Genomic DNA, 17,258 nt, shown 5'->3' with positions numbered 1-17,258 from the left:
TCATTTCACTAGCATAATCTTATTTTATTTATTTAGAAAAATATCAAATATCAATCCTTTTCCCTCATTGTTCCTAGATATTTGAGTTGTAGTTAGGAAAGTTTTTCCACTCCCAGATTAAAATTCACCAATGTTTTCTTCTACTTATTATATGATTTTATTTTTTATGTTTAAGTCTCCTATCTATCTGGAATTTATCCTGGTATGTGGTGTGAGGAATGGATGCAATTTTACATTAATCCTTGTCATTCTCCGGTTATCCTTTACCATTTTCTAAAACATACATTTTCCCTCACTGATTTGAGACGCCAAGTTTATCAAACTTTAAATTCTTACATGAAACTAATTCGATTTCTACATTTTCTGTTTCTTTCCACTGGTGTGTCATCAATCTCTTCATGTACCAAATCCACACAGTTTTAATTATAGAGGCTTTATAATATATTTTAATATCTGGTAATACTACCCCTTCCACACATATTTATCCTTTTTTTGGAGTTTTTATTCCTCCTAACCTTGCTTGTGTTTTTTTTTAAACATGTAAAGTTTCTAAAAGGGTTTTTCCTGCTATTATTGCTTGTCTTATAAAAGAACTTTAAAATCAGGTTAAAACCCTCATTCTTAATGAATATAGTTTCTACCAAAATAGAATTATCTTGCTTGTTAAGTTATATTTGCTAACTTATTTTCCTACACATATATTGGTACTTCTCAGTGCACTACAGGAATATTTTTAGAGCCTATGTATTGTATAATATTGGATCCCTTATTTTGAATAATTTTTAGTATTTATCTTTGCACTAAACTCAAGAAAACACTAACTGAAACAGAACGTATCTCACTAATAATGTCTACATGTAATATCTAGTTGTTCTGTGTGCAAGTAACTGTCATTTCACTAGAATGATCATATTTTATTTATTTAAAAATGTATTTCTTATTGTATATATTTAAGGTACACAACATATTTTGATACACATATAATCAGTGAAATAATTACTATAGTCAAACAAATCCATCATCTTCCATAGTTACCTTTTGTGTGTCTGTGTGTTAACAGCAGCTAAAATCTACTCTCTTAGCAAACTTTTGGTATATAATACAATATTTGTAACTGTAGTCTTCATGCTGTACATTACATCTACAGACTTATTCATCCTACATAATTGCAAATTTGTACTCTTTGACCTATTTCTCCCAATCTCCTCTCCCTTTCTGCCCCTGGTAACTACCATTTGACTCTGTTTCTATTTATTCAACTGTTTTTATTAGAAAAAGGTTCTGCATTTACATGCGATCATATAGTATTTTTCTTTTTGTGTCTGGCTTATTTCACTTAGCATAACATCCTCGGGTTCATCCATGTTGTTACAAGTGTCTCTCTGCTTGTTGGAAACCATGTCCTTTCACAGGGACAGCACGATGCTGGGTACTTAAAGGCTGCTCAGTATGTATGAATTGGCTTTTGCATGGCAAATACACATTATCTTTACATTGCTTATATTTATAGAGCGATTACTGAAAGGGAAGCCCTGTACTAAGTGCTGTGCAAGGTGTAAAGATGAATCATCACAAAGATCAAGGAGCTTACAACATAGTGAGGAAGATAAGATGTGTACCTAAATAATTACACCACAAGACCTATAACCAGAAGAGATGTACAATGCATGCCAAGCAATAAAGAGAGAAAGAGAAATTAGTTCTACCTTGGGGACCGGGCAACTAGTTAGCATGCCAACATCTTGTTTGTTTTGAGAGTTAATCAACCAGGAATGCACCCACTGAAGAATCAGGGCAGAACTATCAGTTTGTCAAACCGGTTTCCATGAAAAGAAATTAATGCGTATGTCCTTGTAAAGCACTTCTTTCCTCCCGTATTTACTTACCGTCTTGTAGATGTGCCCTGGAGAAATGAGTATTTTTGGCTGGTGAGGAGGTAATGAGTTACTTGTAAGTCCTTATTATGAAGAAGCTATTACTCCAGAATGATATTCACTGAGGGCTCCAGAATGATATTTACTCCTTGTCTGGATGCAAGGCACATCGCTGCCTGATTGGGCCTGAGAAGAGTGGGTGCACCCTAACGTCGGAGAGGGAGGGTGCAGCCTGGGTACAATTTCAAACTGAAATGTGTTTCTGGTTGCAAAGCAAAATGAGTACTAACAGACAAAGCAAAGCAGAGAAATCGGCTCTCTGGGACTGATACCTGAGCTCACCAACCAGCTAAACACTCCCTTTGTTTCCTTTTGGAGCCGCCTCACCATTCCCTTTACTGGACATCCCCAAAAGATTGTTCAGTTCTTAAATCCCTTGTGTGGTGGTAAGAGGTCTGGGAAGTTTCTGGAGGGAAGAAGTGGTTTCTGTGGGTGTGATCTGGTGGACACCCAACTGGAAGCCTCTTTGGAAACCCCGGGAAACCCCCATGGGCTCTTGCCAGGCCCTCTGCCCTCCTGTTCCCAGTCTACTGCTGACTCCACACTTAGCAACCACTCACTTCAACTCCCGAGAAGACTGGCCCTTCAGAAGAGACAGGAAAATATCTGTGAGGGGAATCCCTCAACTCCAGGTATGCCCTTGCCCCAAAAGATGAATTCCTGGTTGGTTCTCAGGCTAACAAGCAGAGGTGTGTCTTACGCTGTATTCTATAGAATGAGAATACGGCTTTATTTATAATTTTATAAATCCAGCTGTGATGGTTAATTTTATGTGACAACTTGACGGGGCCATGAGGTGTCCAGAACCCTGATACACCAGCCTTGTGATAATATTGCTTATTGTAATAAAATGTTCAATATGGCACAATTGCTGCAGATACAAATGGTAATCTAACATATTCTCTTACTATATCCTTGGGAGAAGTATAAAGGACGACTTAGCTAAAGTTTAAAAAAGTCTATGGTTGTACCTGGAAATAAAGAAGACTCATGAGTACCATATTAATTTCTACTGGCTTATCTTGCACTTTGTATCCTGAGAAACCCCCACTTTCATGCAGAAAACAGAATATTTTGCCTTCCACACCATTGTGGGGATCTGAAAGAGTTTCTAGCTGTGTTATAGGAATTTTTGGGGGCACATTAGGTAGGCCTCATTACTAAAATCTTACTAGAGTGATCGTTTGAGTTTTGTCAGTGAAATGTTACCATTCAGACAATGTAGAGGCCATGAAAAGACACCCTGGCCAGAGAGCCTGAATAAACACCTGAACAAACACCACAGCCTCCCGTGGCCCAGGGCTGCTCAGTGTATCATCCAAAGAAACTCAGTCTAGCATCCAAAAGCAATCAAAGAGCCATTCACATCTTTAATTGCATTTTTGAAAGAACTTTTATCTTCCAGTGATCCCATGATTTTACTTTGTGATTCAGTTTACAACCTGTAGAAACGTCTTTGAGGGACTCGGTTCCTCACCAGGCGATCCAGAGCTTCTCCCTTTCTTGATGGCTCCTCTTCACTTTCTGATCAGCTCTCTTCTCCAAGTCTCAGCCTCGGTGGCCCTAGTCCTCAGGGCGCCTCCCGACTGCCTTTCACCTTTCTGATCTTGTTTTTGTCTTATCCATTTACCCGATTCTGCCTCAGGGAACCTGGAAACTGGGCCAGTAATGAAAGAAGGCCATTGATAAAGTGGGGGAGAGGGAGAAACTGAAGGGACAAAAGTGTACATCTTTTTCTAGATGAAATCTTAAAAATGCTGATCTTTTATTTCCTCTCACTGTCACACTACGAGGTGGCGCCACAGGTCAGTCTGGAGTAGGAGACATGTTAGCTGTTGGCTCAGCACCCGGGGAATATTCCTTCCATCCACAGCTGCCTGCACAGGGCTTCTGGATTGCCCATTGGAAGAAAGCTGGCACATCTCTGAGGCTTTGCTAAGCTTCATCCAAACTCTTGTGTGGATGCGAATCCTTTTCAATGACTTGACGCTTGTACCCCTCATTCCACACACAGATGGTGTTGGGTCTTGATGACCAGAGTGCTGGGATAGAAGGGAAAGAAAAGTCTCTGTGCTGGTGCTGAGTTGGACCTGCATTACACACACTACTGGCTCATTTTATCTTCTAGAATAACCCTGTGGGATGGGCAGAGCAAGCATGAATATTACTATTCTCATTTTCTAGCCCATCAGACCTGGCATTTCTGTTAAATGTTAGTGAGTGCTTCAGAGCAGTAGGGAGAGTTGCTCAGGCTAATTGTAATTATATTAACTTACCTTAAGCATCCTAGGTATTCTTCCCTTTTTTATGTTAAAAAAAAGTCCACTTTAAGGTATGAAATAAACATGTTGTTTTTTTCCACTGGAAATCATGCACCACATCTTTTACAAAGAAAAACATTGAATTTATAAGCATACTTATACTGTAATCATTTTCTGTGATTACTTTTCATTTTTATGCTAATATAACTAGAATTTATGTATTGCATTATTTTTTCATAGTGCATCTATCCTGATAAATACAGAAAAAGGAAAAAGCACCCAAAAACATCTCCTGAGAAAGACCATAAATATACCTTTTATCATCCTTAATAGCAAAGCATTTTATTCTGTCTTCTTTCTCTCTCTGCCTCTCTCTCTGACTTCATCAGAAACAATCTATAATATTTATGGGCATTGCATAGATTTAGAAATAGATTTATTTATAGGATCAAAGTAGATATCGACCCTAGTTCACCAAAAACAAGGTCATTCTTCAGTTCCTGTGAATCTCCCAAGTCTGCATCCTCTTCAATTACATGGCCTGACCCTTCCTTGGTCTGTGGGATTTTTGGAGGACCATTATGCTGATTACAAAGCTACTTCTCAGTGAACTGATTGCACTGAATGGCACAAATTACCTTTGGGCAACCAACAGGTGTATCAGCGGCGCGCATTCAAATGCATGACCCTTGAAGCCTGAAGAATATATCTGAGGTGAAATAAAAGGGAGGGCTGGCCATAATGGCTCAGATGTCCATATTATGGACACCAGCCAAATAAAGTGGGTCTGTAGATACCCCCTCGTCTTCTGGGGGGCTGGGGGCTGGAGGACAAACTGAAGGCAGGTCTGTGTCACATGGAGGAGGTGGGATTAAACCCACAGTTGCTCAGCATTATTGTTTTTTCCACTTGAAATCTTTATTTTAATAATCATGTTTGAATTTCTTCTGACCACGAAAAACAAGTTGAGTTGAAATCTGTGGCAGCATCTTGTTTTCTTGCTAGAGGCGAGCAGGAAACCTCCTGTTCTAGGTACAGATATGAAGAACTCCAGAAACTTAGTTTTCCTTCACTTTTCTTTTTTAAGAGGGAATTGGAAGTAGATGTAATAGAGAAAAGCTTAAGCATGATGAAGATTTTCTTTTTTCTTTTCTTTTCTTTTTTTTTGAAACAGAGTCTTGCTTTGTCACCTAGGCTAGAGTGCACAGGCACGATCTCTGGTCACTGCAACCTCTGCCTCCTGGGTTCAAGCGATTCTCCTGGTTCAGCCTACTGAGTAGCTGGGATTACAGACATGCAGCACCACCTCTAGCTAATTTTTGTATTTTTAGTAGAGACAGGGTTTCACCACATTTGCTAGGCTAGCCTTGAACTCCTAACCTTGGGTGATACACCCGCCTTGGCCTCCCAAAGTGTTGGGATTACAGGCATGAGCCACTGCACCCAACCCAGGCACTGTGCCTAGCCAAGATTTCTGAAATGAGAACTTGGATTGTGCTACACTTATGAGGCCAGCAGGGCCCTCCCCACCTGTTTTCCGGACACAGATGCCAACCTTCTCTGCATGCCCCAGATCTCACGGCCTGTGTTCACCCTGTAGCTCCACAGAACAAAAGCCTGAACTGGTCAACTGGTGCTTGACTTCATGCTTTCCAGTACTGCTCACTGGAAGTCACATGAGTTCTCCTCTAGGAGTCCTGTCTTACATCCTACCCTGCCTTCACCCCCCATCTAGACCAGGGCTGAGTTCATGACAAAAGCAGAGCAGGTGCTGACCACCAAAACCCCTTTTGGTCTCAAAGTGCTTCAGCCTCTAAAATGTGGATCATGTTTTGAAACATTAAGCAATGTGTACATCCTTCCTCTTCCCTGTAAATCATGTTCTTTGATAGCCATTGTAGCTCCAGAGAAGGGAGTGGGTACTGCTTTCAGGAGGGAAGGAATGTGACCAGAGTTGCTGGTAGCCCTTAGAATGGCTTTGTGCAAATTTTAAAAGGGTCTTCTTGCTCTAAGTAGATACAGCCCAGTGCCAGCTCACTCATAGCTGGGTGAGCAGAGGTAGATACCTGCTGTCTCACTTGGGCATTCTTGTGCAGGCCACAGTCTGTACAACTGTACATGGTGGCCCCTTTTGTAAGTGCTAACCCTGGCCAACCTGAGAGAAGAAAAAAGAAAGGTCATCTCTCTGGTCCTCAGTGGCTTGTGGGGAGGAGAACGAGATGGAGGTAAGAGAAGCTGCTATCCTCAGTGATGGACAGTGTGTCTGGGCAGAGAGGAATGTTGTGCTAGCATGCCTCTGCTTTCGTGTCATTTCAGAGCCCCGAATGTCCTGCATGGCTGTGGAGGAATGCATGGGGACTGAGAGTATAGCTGGGAAACCTGCCAGCGGGTATCACTGCAGTAGGATCATTGTGACCTGTGGCTAGGAGTACAGAGCACCATCCAGGATGGGCATCCAATGGAAGTCATGGCCAATCAGGAGACCCTAATTCCAGGGATAGCCTGGGGATATCCAGAGAGCAGAGGAGTGGGTTCTGCCTTTATTGAGCCCAGGGATTTGACTGCCCATTCACAAGCCCCAGATCTGGCATCTAGTGCCAGCAGAGTGCCCAACAGCCAGAGCCAAGAGACCAGGGAGCAGGCAGATGGACCCGAGCCCATCTCAGAGCTCTCAGAGCTGTCCTTCTCATGCCACTCAGAGGTCACACAGCCTTCCTTGGTTCTCCAGGATGTCACCTCAGAAAGGAGTAGGAAATCTGAAAGTATGGCATTTGCCTGAAAGAGAATGATTTCTCTAAAGAGATTATTTAAATGATTGCATAAAACTATGTTGATGAGGCTGGAATTTCATGTTGTCCTCCTTACACAGTGGGACAGAGGCTTACAGCAAAGACTGGATCAGCCTTAGGAGATAAAGAAGCTACATTTTTGGGAGGCTGAGGCAGGAGAATCGCTTCAACCCAGGGGGGCAGAGGTTGCAGTGAGCCGAGATCTCACTACTGCACTCCAGCCTAGGCAACAGAGCGATACTTCGGAAAAAAAAAACAAAAAAAAAAAGAAGCTACATATTTTTCTGGCCTCTCTTCTTTGTGGAATTGCCCCCACCTTCACCCTCATTCCATATCTTCCTGGCCAGCCACCATATGACAAGAGTGGAGCAGGTAAAGCTAAGGGTTTTGTGACTTGGCCAAGGCCAAACACCTGGTTGGTGGTGAAGCTTGGACTGGAACCCAGCCCTTTTGTCCAAGTCTATTCTCCAGACTGTCCCTCAAAGGCCATGAACAGACTGGCACCAATCTAAGAAGACATTTTTACCCATCTGTCTTCAGCCAGGCTTCCCAGAAGACGACCCTGAGACAAAGATGTATGTGCAAGTGAAATATGAAGGAATGGCTCTCAGGAGAAACCAATCAGGGAGTGAGAGAAACAGGACAGGGATGGGAGGGAAGCCAGGCAAGGGCATGACTCCAGGGGAAATCCCAGTCTCAGCCTGAGCATGTGGAGAGCTCAGGAGCATGTATTCTCCCCGGTGACAAATTCTTACAGCTTGATAGTTTTCTCCCCTCCTGTACTTTACCAAGAGTGACTGGGTTTTGCATTTAGATAAAGTTTCATGCATTTCTCTCCTGCCAGCTGAAAATTGCAAACAGAGGTTGTTTACCTCCAGGAAGGCAGCAGGGCTTTCATCCTCAGGCACAATCTGTCAGGCGATAGACCACACTCGGGTGTGGAGTGGGGGCTAAACTCCCAAACGTGAACCCAAACCATCTCTAGAAGCCCAAGGGCTGTTCTCTGAAGGTGCGCTGGTGGAAGCTATCAAAAGCGAAGCACAGAAGCTGAGGGATGAGCACAGATAACCCATAGGAGGGATCTGAGATTTGGGCACACCCCCCAGAACCCCCAACAGTGTCTGCTTTCTCTGTGTTGTTTGAGATTATCAACTATCCTTTTTCTTGGGAAAAACAGTCCTTTAGTCTGAAATTATGTTCTTTTGGTATTAAAGTGCCGTCCCTTTTATGAAGAACTGGCAATAGTGGCTAATAAGAGTTGGTATTGATCCTATGTCTTACTTAGAAAAAGGAAAGTTGCCAACTGCCTATTAGTTCCTCAATCTTTTTTTTTTTCTGACATATTACTTGTCCGCAAAACCCAAAAAATCTGGGAACCACCATATCAGTCCTTGTTGCTTCTCCTTTTGATGGGTTTCCAAAGTACTTCCCAACCATTCTCTCTGTGATTTAAAACAAAACAGGCAACTAAAACAATAAAGAGTTTGGAATCCAGCTCAGCAATAATTGTGTAAACACTGCTTTTCCTCCCAGGAGAGCCTCTGTAGTCATCAGCATGTGCATTTTCCCATGCAACTTGAAGGCAGGGGGGCAAGGGAAAAGCTGACCCAGAAGGAACGTCCCGATTGCCACTCTGGCCTCACTTCTCCTCCATGACTCCTAGGCTAGGAGGCACTGGCTGCAGTGGTAGGTGGGAGGGTATCTCTTCCCCACCTCCTACCCTTCCAAACCCATCAGGAAGTACCCAGAAACCACCGGTATGTGAGTGTATGAGTGTGTGTGTGTGTGTGTGTGTGTTTGTGTGTAGTGGGTGACTAAATGTTGCATGAGAACTAGAGAGTGGTGAGAAAGGATAGTAGTGATGAGAGTCCAGTTAAATGTGAAAATTAGAAGTTCCTCCATCTATGCCTTGTTCTTATTCAAAGGAGTAAGTTGCGTCAGCTTAATATTCTCCCCAGTGACAAATTCTTACAGCTGACAGTTTTCTCCCCTCCTGTACTTTACCAAGAATGACTGGGTTTTCCATTTGGATAAAGCTTCATGCGTTTCTCATCTGCCAGCTGAAAATTGCAAACAGGAAAATTCTGTTCGTTGGAGCAGTTCCTGGAGCAGAGGGATAGTTTGAGTTGATCAAAATAGTTTATAGTGCTTGACGGTTTTTACTTGAACTGTAAGAATCAAAGATGTATTTGTGTAAAGGAATATCGTTGATCATTCTGTTCAATTTTATGCTGTTGACTCTTAAAAAATGTGTGGCCACCAATAAGGTATTCCAATAGTCTCATTTTAATGAGCAATAATCAATATTTATATTTTGATTCCATATGATCTTATAGAAAATTTTATTTAAAATTATGATTTTAACATAATCTTATGTCTAAAATATTTATTCAATATCAAATACATACCAGGTGCAGTTTTAGGTGCTGGGGATCCAGCAGTGAGTTAAAGCTATAGTATTGTTGTCAAAGAGTTGAGCTAGCATTTCTTGTGAAATTGCTTTTTAAATAACTTATTTTTATGGAGGCAATCTAATGTTATATGATGTAGAAATTAAATTTTACTAACAAATATTGAATTACTATTATTTTGTTCTTAAAGTCAGAAGGAAAGTCCTACCAAAGCCAGAAAATATCATGTTTTAATACAGGTGTTTAATAGATTTAATCTTCTCTGAAAATAAGTAACATTTAAACAGAAAATAATTCTTGAAGTTCACAAGTTCCTAAATCTGTAAGACTTAAATGGCTTAAGGGCCAGCCAGAGAACCTGGATTTCATCAGGCAGACAACAGCAAGGAAATCATGTAGATGAAAACCCCCATTAACTCGTCATTTAGCATTAGGTATATCTCCTAAAGCTATCCCTCCCCGCTCCCCCCACCCCACAACAGTCCCCAGAGTGTGATGTTCCCCTTCCTGTGTCCATGTGTTCTCATTGTTCAATTCCCACCTATGAGTGAGAATATGCGGTGTTTGGTTTTTTGTTCTTGTGATAGTTTACTGAGAATGATGATTTCCAGTTTCATCCATGTCCCTACAAAGGACATGAACTCATCATTTTTTATGGCTGCATAGTATTCCATGGTGTATATGTGCCACATTTTCTTAATCCAGTCTATCATTGTTCGACATTTGGGTTGGTTCCAAGTCTTTGCTATTGTGAATAGTGCAGCAATAAACATACGTGCGCATGTGTCTTTATAGCAGCATGATTTATAGTCCTTTGGGTATATACCCAGTAATGGGATGGCTGGCTCACATGATATTTCCAGTTCTAGATCCCTGAGGAATTGCCACACTGACTTCCACAATGGTTGAACTAGTTTACAGTCCCACCAACAGTGTAAAAGTGTTCCTATTTCTCCACATCCTCTCCAGCACCTGTTGTTTCCTGACTTTTTAATGATTGCCATTCTAACTGGTGTGAGATGGTATCTCATTGTGGTTTTGATTTGCATTTCTCTGATGGCCAGTGATGGTGAGCATTTTTTCATGTGTTTTTTGGCTGCATAAATGTCTTCTTTTGAGAAGTTTTTCATGTCCTTCGCCCACTTTTTGATGGGGTTGTTTGTGTTTTTCTTGTAAATTTGTTTGAGTTCATTGTAGATTCTGGATATTAGCCCTTTGTCAGATGAGTAGGTTGCAAAAATTTTCTCCCATTTTGTAGGTTGCCTGTTCACTCTGATGGTAGTTTCTTTTGCTGTGCAGAAGCTCTTTAGTTTAATTAGATCCCATTTGTCAATTTTGGCTTTTGTTGCCATTGCTTTTGGTGTTTTAGACATGAAGTCCTTGCCCATGCCTATGTCCTGAATGGTAATGCCTAGGTTTTCTTCTAGGGTTTTTATGGTTTTAGGTCTAATGTTTAAGTCTTTAATCCATCACCAGCATGGCACATATATACATATGTAACTAACCTGCACATTGTGCACATGTACCCTAAAACTTAAAGTATAATAATAATTAAAAAAAAGAATAAGGAAATAAGGAGGCCACCGGGCTCATCTAAGCCTTCAGCTAGGCAAGAAAAGGACCTTTGGAGGCTCACATTCATTCTGTTCCTTCTGTTTACCACAATAAGATACAGCACAGGGTATTTTTTTTTTCAGTCGAAGTCTTGCTCTGTTGCCCAGGCTGCAGTGCAGTAGCACAATCTCAGCTCATGCAACCTCCATCTCCCAGGTTCAAGCAATTCTCCTGCCTCAGCCTCCCAAATAGCTGGATTATGGGCACATGCCACCATGCCCAGCTATTTTTTTGTATTTTTAGTAGAGATGTGATTTCACCATATTGGCCAGGCTGGTCTTGAACTCCTGGTCTCAAGCGATCTGCCTGCCTTGGCCTCCCAAAGTACTGGGACTACAGGTGTGAGCCACCGTGCCCAGCCAACACAGGGTAACATGGTCAAATCCTCAGCTGGCAATAATAGCATGCACGTTTGCCTTAATTGTCCTTTCCATCACAGTTTTTCCTTGGCAACCCAGGTGACAAAAAGCAGCTGGCAAGTTATTCAGATCTCTGCATTACACCGTCACCTATCAGAACTAACAGCATAGACATTACAGATGAGGAACAGCCTCAGAGTAGTTATGAGACAGGACTGCTCTTCCCCCTACATCCTGTTTCAATTACTTTTCACTCACTGAGAATGTGAAAAATAAAATGAATGTTTTAAAGAAGCATACTATATGAAAATACACATTTTGATTATTATTTATTCCTTGGTTGAGAGGCAGACTTTTAAGGTAAATTGACTTTAAGACAATCAGGCAATGCTAAAGACATAAACCAGCCTTAACATTTAAATAATAGGAACATCCTATGACCACCTCGACTCATTGATTTGTCATGTTCACTTATTGCTTCTTTTTCTCCTTCCAGGCAATTTTCTGGAAAGACTGAAAAGTTTTTGTTCTCATTTTCTTCAATATGGCAGTAATCCTAAATCTTAAAGCAATAAAAATAGACATTATAAATTCAAAAAAAAAAAAAAAAGAAAAAGAAAACCCCCATTTCCTTCCCTGAAAGGGAGAGTGACTTGTGGATTACCTAGATCATTGTCTCAGTTCTCTACCTTTAAAGATTACCTGAGAGATAAGCCAGGATAACATGAACGTATTTAATGTTGTTTAGTTCTCTAAATTCTTTAACAACATAAAGAGATTTACCTTTAATTGCGTCAGATCACCAAGCCAGGACTTAATCTGTTGAGGTCTTTGGTGCTGAAATCTAGTAAAGCCCTCAAAATGTTTCTTGTCAGGGATTCTGTGCCAGAAACAATCAATAGAGAATCGCAAAGGGAGGCTCATGTAAGTTAATGACACTTGGAATGTGATAGGTGCCTTGCAACATCACACTGATAATGCAGCTCTTCCTTATTTTTTTATTTTTTATTTTTTTTTTGAGACAGAGTCTCGCTCTGTCACCCAGGCTGGAGTGGAGTGCAGTGGTGTGATCTCGGCTCACTGCAACCTCCGCCTCTGGGGTTCAAGCGATTCTCCTGCCTCAGCTTCCTGAGTAGTTGGGATTACAGGCACGCACCACCATACCTAGCTAATTTTTTTCCTGTTTTTAGTAAAGATGGGATTTCACCATATCGGCCAGGCTGGTCTTGCACTCCTGATCTCAAGTGATCCTCTGGCCTCAGCCTCCCAAAGTGCTGGGATTACAGATGTGAGCCACCACGCCCAGCCAGCTCTTCCTTCTTAAACATGTATTACTCTACTGTGTTATTTTGCCACATGATGCCAGTAAAGGGCCTTTTCATTAAATTTTGGAGAGAACCAAATTCAGCCAAAAGAGCCCCTTTTAACTAAATAATGGAGTTTTATAAAAATAATAATGCACAGCCAAGCGTGGTGGCTCACACCTGTAATCCCAGTACTTTGGGAGGCTGAGGAGGGAGGATTGCTTGAGTCTGGGAGTTTGTGACCAGCCTGGGCAATGTAGCAAGACTCCATTTCTACAAAAAACAAAAACAAAAACAAAACAAAACAGCAAAGCGTGGTGGTGCACAACCTGTAGTCCCAACTACTCAGGAGGCTGAGGTCGGAGCATCACTTGAGCCCGGGAGGTTGAGGCTGCAATGAGCTGTGATCATGCCACTTGCACTCAGCTGGGTGACAGAGTGAGACGTTGTCTCAAAATAAAATAAAATAACAATAGTAGTAATAATGCTTCTCTAGCTCAAGGACATTTGCTCATGAGTAATTTTAAAAATTAGCTTTATAATTACTTATGAAGTTTCTTTTTGGGTCCTACAATTTAATTTAATCGTAGCATTTATTGCACATTTTCCATATACCAGACATTTTCCCAAGTGCTTTACATGCATTATCTCATTTAATCCTCACAAAACCCTGTAATGAGGGTATTCCTGCTTTACAGATGAATTAACTGAGGATTTGGAGAGGTTAAGCAAATTGCCCAAAGTCACATAGGTAGTAACGGGGAGAGGTAGGTCTTGGAATCAGGTCTCGTTGTGCCCAAAGTCCACGTTGCCAGCTTCACACTGCTCTCCCACTACTTGATAACACGCTGATGCCACCAGAAATTAAGTCAGATTCCAGGATTATAGAGCAATTTCTGGTAACTTCGAGGAAATGACGGGAATCTTTCCTAGAGTCGTTTCCCCAAGCTCCTCTCCCATTCCACCCATGTAGCATAATGATGCTATTGTGCCTTAGAGTGAGTTTTTTAGTTGGATAAACACCTAGCCAGCTGGAACCCATACCTAGCAGCTTCCTCATACAAACACTCACTATTTATAATATTAATTACCCTGTGCAGTACAATTCTTTTAGAAAAATGCATGATGTGTACTCAAAAAGCATTTTTTTCCACACAGTCTTGTTACTCAAAAATGTTGGCAAGGGATCATAAGAACATCATAAGCCTTGCATAGAATGTAAGAAAAACAAAAATACAACTGAATTTAAAGAGGGTGTATTCATTCCAGAGATGTTTTTGCTTCTTAATGACCATTCCTCCTTCAAAGTTGAGATGGCTATGTTTCTGACGAGGATGGTGCTATTCTGTCTCCAAATGCTGTTCTTTAGTTAGATGTTCCAAGCAACTCTATAATTTGAAAATAACATCATGAGAGAAGAAAAAAGCACACATACCATTTTAAAGTTTTCATACCTGTGTATTTAGACAGGTTTTTTTTAAGTGTGGAAATTTAAAAGTAAACTTAGAATTTCAAAGACAAGAAGTTTTCAGAATTTAAATATTTTTAAGATAAAATTAAGTTCCGCATTAAGATAGATGTATAAAAGAGAAAAGAGTTGAATCCTTATTTTTCAACTAACTCAAGGTGTAAACTACCTATATATTTATAAACCACTGTTGATATCTTTATTGGTGGTCATCTTCAAATTTCAAAAATATGTAGATTTAGAGAATAATATATTATACAATAATAATTTGCAGGTAAGCATTCGCCTATATCAAATGTATTAAGATGTTTCTGGCTGGGCACAGTGGCTCACGCCTGTAATGCCAGCACTTTGGGAGGCCGAGGCAGGCGGATCACCTGAGGTCAGGAGTTCGAGACCAGCCTGACTAACATGGTAAAACCCTGTCTCTACTAAAAATACAAAAATTAGCCAGGTGTAGTGGTGGGTGCCTGTAATCCCAGCTACTCGGGAGGCAGAGGCAGGAGAATCGCTTGAACCTGGGAGGTGGAGGTTGCAGTGAGCCAAGATCACACCACTGCACTGCAGCCTGGGCAACAGAGTGAGACTCTGTCTCAAAAAAAAAAAAAAAAAAGAATTGTTTCCAGCAGATACCTGGAGTGGCAGCCATTTTGCCACCATGAGGCCATAAGCAAATGTGCTAATGGATATACTTCCTCAATGACATTGATGAGACTGCTCTCTGCTTGTTAAATAAATGATATGTTATTAACAACAACAAAACATACTTGATCTAAAATTTAACCAAATAACATATTGTTTGAAACAAAAAAGAATCCCTAGTCTAATGGCTAATGCTTATAGGTGTGGCCCAACACTGCTTCAACTACCTGTGACTTCAGGTGTGTCACAGAACCCCTCCTCCAAACCTCATCTGTGTCATTTCTAAATAATGAGCTCGGCCCAAATGTGGGTCACAACCCAATAGTAGGTTGAGAAATCAAGTTGGTGCATCAAAACTAGTGATAAAAAATATCAAATTATGGCCAGGTGCAGTGGGTCACGGCTGTAATCCCAGCACTTTGGGAGGCCGAGGTGGGTGGATTACCTGAGGTCAGGAGTTCGAGACCAGCTTGGCCAACATGGTGAAACCCCGTCTCTACTAAAAGTACAAAAATTAGCCGGGCATGGTGGCAGGTGCCTGTAATCCCAGCTACACGGGAGGCTGAGGCAGGAGAATCGCTTGAACATGGGAAGAAGAGGTTGCAGTGAGCTGAGATTGTGCACTGCACTCCAGCCTGGGCAACAGGACTAGACTCTGTCTCAAAAAAGAAGAAAATTACATAGAATGGAATTAAAGAATAGAAAGTACCAGTGCATCATGCTTGAGAGGAAATAACATTTTATACAATGTTTCAGATACTCACACATGTGTGGTATACTGGGTTGTGATGTAAGATTTATTTCATTCTGTAGGTGATAGTCAAAAAAGTTCAAGAAATGCTGAGATAGATAACTTCTAGGTCCTCTTCAGCTGTGATATTCCTTGGGCCTTTTGTGTAAGTGATACTGTGGCAGAGACTGCAAACAAATTGTCCACCAAAATTAATGATCCCCTTCCATATTATGAAGCTATGACTTCCATATTATGAAGCTATGACTTCATAATATGGCTCAGAGCCAGAGACTCTAATTCCTAGTTCCTCTTGCAGGTAGATGGGACCATGTGATGGGTCCTTGCCAGTGGAGTGTAAGCAGAAGTGATACGCATCACTTCCAGGCAGAAGTGGTTAAGGAGCAAGTGAGTCTTCTCGCTCTCTTCTTCTCTTGCTATTGCCTCCATGCAGACGAACTTACTGACCTTGGGAACTCTGTGTTGGAGATGGTGAAGCCAGAAGATGGAACTAGCCTGGTGCTTCAGACGCTGCTTGGAGAACAGCCTCTGCCCTTCAGGAACACCTATTTTGGTGTTCATATGAGCAAGAAGTAAACTTCTCTTGTATTTGTGCCATTATACATATTGGAGGGTCTGCTTGTCATGACAGTGAGTGATTTGAATCCAGAAAACACCCAACAGCTGGAGAGAGAGCACTGGAGGCTGTGCTTCACGCAGGGCCTGGCTGGCACGCAGGCGATACTGCATTCTGTTAGAGTTCCTGTATGCTTGTCCTGCATGTGAAAGAGGTAACAGAACATGTGTTCAGTAGTCTTGCCTTCTGATAATCCTCTTGACAAAAATCAGGATAGGCAGAAAATTCCTCTACTGCAGCAATAGTCTCTTAACCACAACTAGGAAAATGATTAGAAAAATTAAAAAGTATTTCATAACCTGGAAGAAATTATAGTAGGTATAATTCTAAAATAGCTTACTCCATTTCTGTTTGTGAAAGTAATATTTTGTGTTTCTGTGAGTCTAAATAGTTTACAAAGACCTTTAAAAAAAAATTTAGACAGAGTCTTGCTCTGTCATCCAGGCTGGAGTCCAGTGGTACCATCTTGGCTGTCTACCTCCCAGGTTCAAGCGATTCTCCTGCCTCAACCTCATGAGTAGCTGGGTTTACAGGTATCCACCACCACGCCCAGCTAATTTTTGTACTTTTAGTAGAGACGGGGGTTTCACCATGTTGGCCAGGCTGGTCTTGAACTCTTGACCTCAGGTGATCTGCCCGCCTCGGCCTCCCAAAGTGCTGGGATTACAGGTGTGAGCCACTGGGCCCAGCCTACAAAGTACTTCTATATGTAACATACATCACTTGACTCTACAAATAATTTTGGCGATAGGAAAGCAGGAAGTTATTGCCCCCATCTCACAGACGAAAAAATACAGGCTTTGTGGAATTTAGTAACTTAAAGTTTATACCAGGAGTAGCAGAGCCAGTCCTTGAATCGCACACCTTCAAAGCCCAAGTCTGTTTCTCCTCTGAGCTTGTTAGGTCTGGGTTTTGTTTGCTGCTGTATTTTCAGCACCAGTCTGAAATGTAAAAAGATCTAATAAAGGAAGATCTCTTACTGCTTCTCCTGGTTTTGGCTCAGGTCCCCACTGTCTTTGCTACAGGAAAATGCCTACTTTTTTTTTTTTTCCATCCAGTGTTGGAGCAGTAACAGTGGACTTCAGCTGTGAGTCAATTAAGGTGATGTT

General features: G+C 41.4%; 1 annotated feature.

Moving 5' to 3' along the window:
* Positions 15,742 to 16,941: an enhancer, noted in NCBI's record as "BRD4-independent group 4 enhancer chr2:201109283-201110482 (GRCh37/hg19 assembly coordinates)". NCBI's record gives its function as "activates an origin of replication core promoter dependent on BRD2, P300/CBP, MED14 and CDK7 cofactors, and independent of BRD4, by STARR-seq in HCT116 cells {active_cell/tissue: HCT116}" and the evidence as "EXISTENCE:reporter gene assay evidence [ECO:0000049][PMID:35650434]".

This window comes from Homo sapiens, chromosome 2 (genome assembly GCF_000001405.40).
Source record: "Homo sapiens chromosome 2, GRCh38.p14 Primary Assembly".
NCBI lineage: Eukaryota > Metazoa > Chordata > Mammalia > Primates > Hominidae > Homo > Homo sapiens.
The sequence above is the reverse complement of the archived record's forward strand: the minus strand, read 5'-3'. Positions and strand labels throughout refer to the sequence as shown.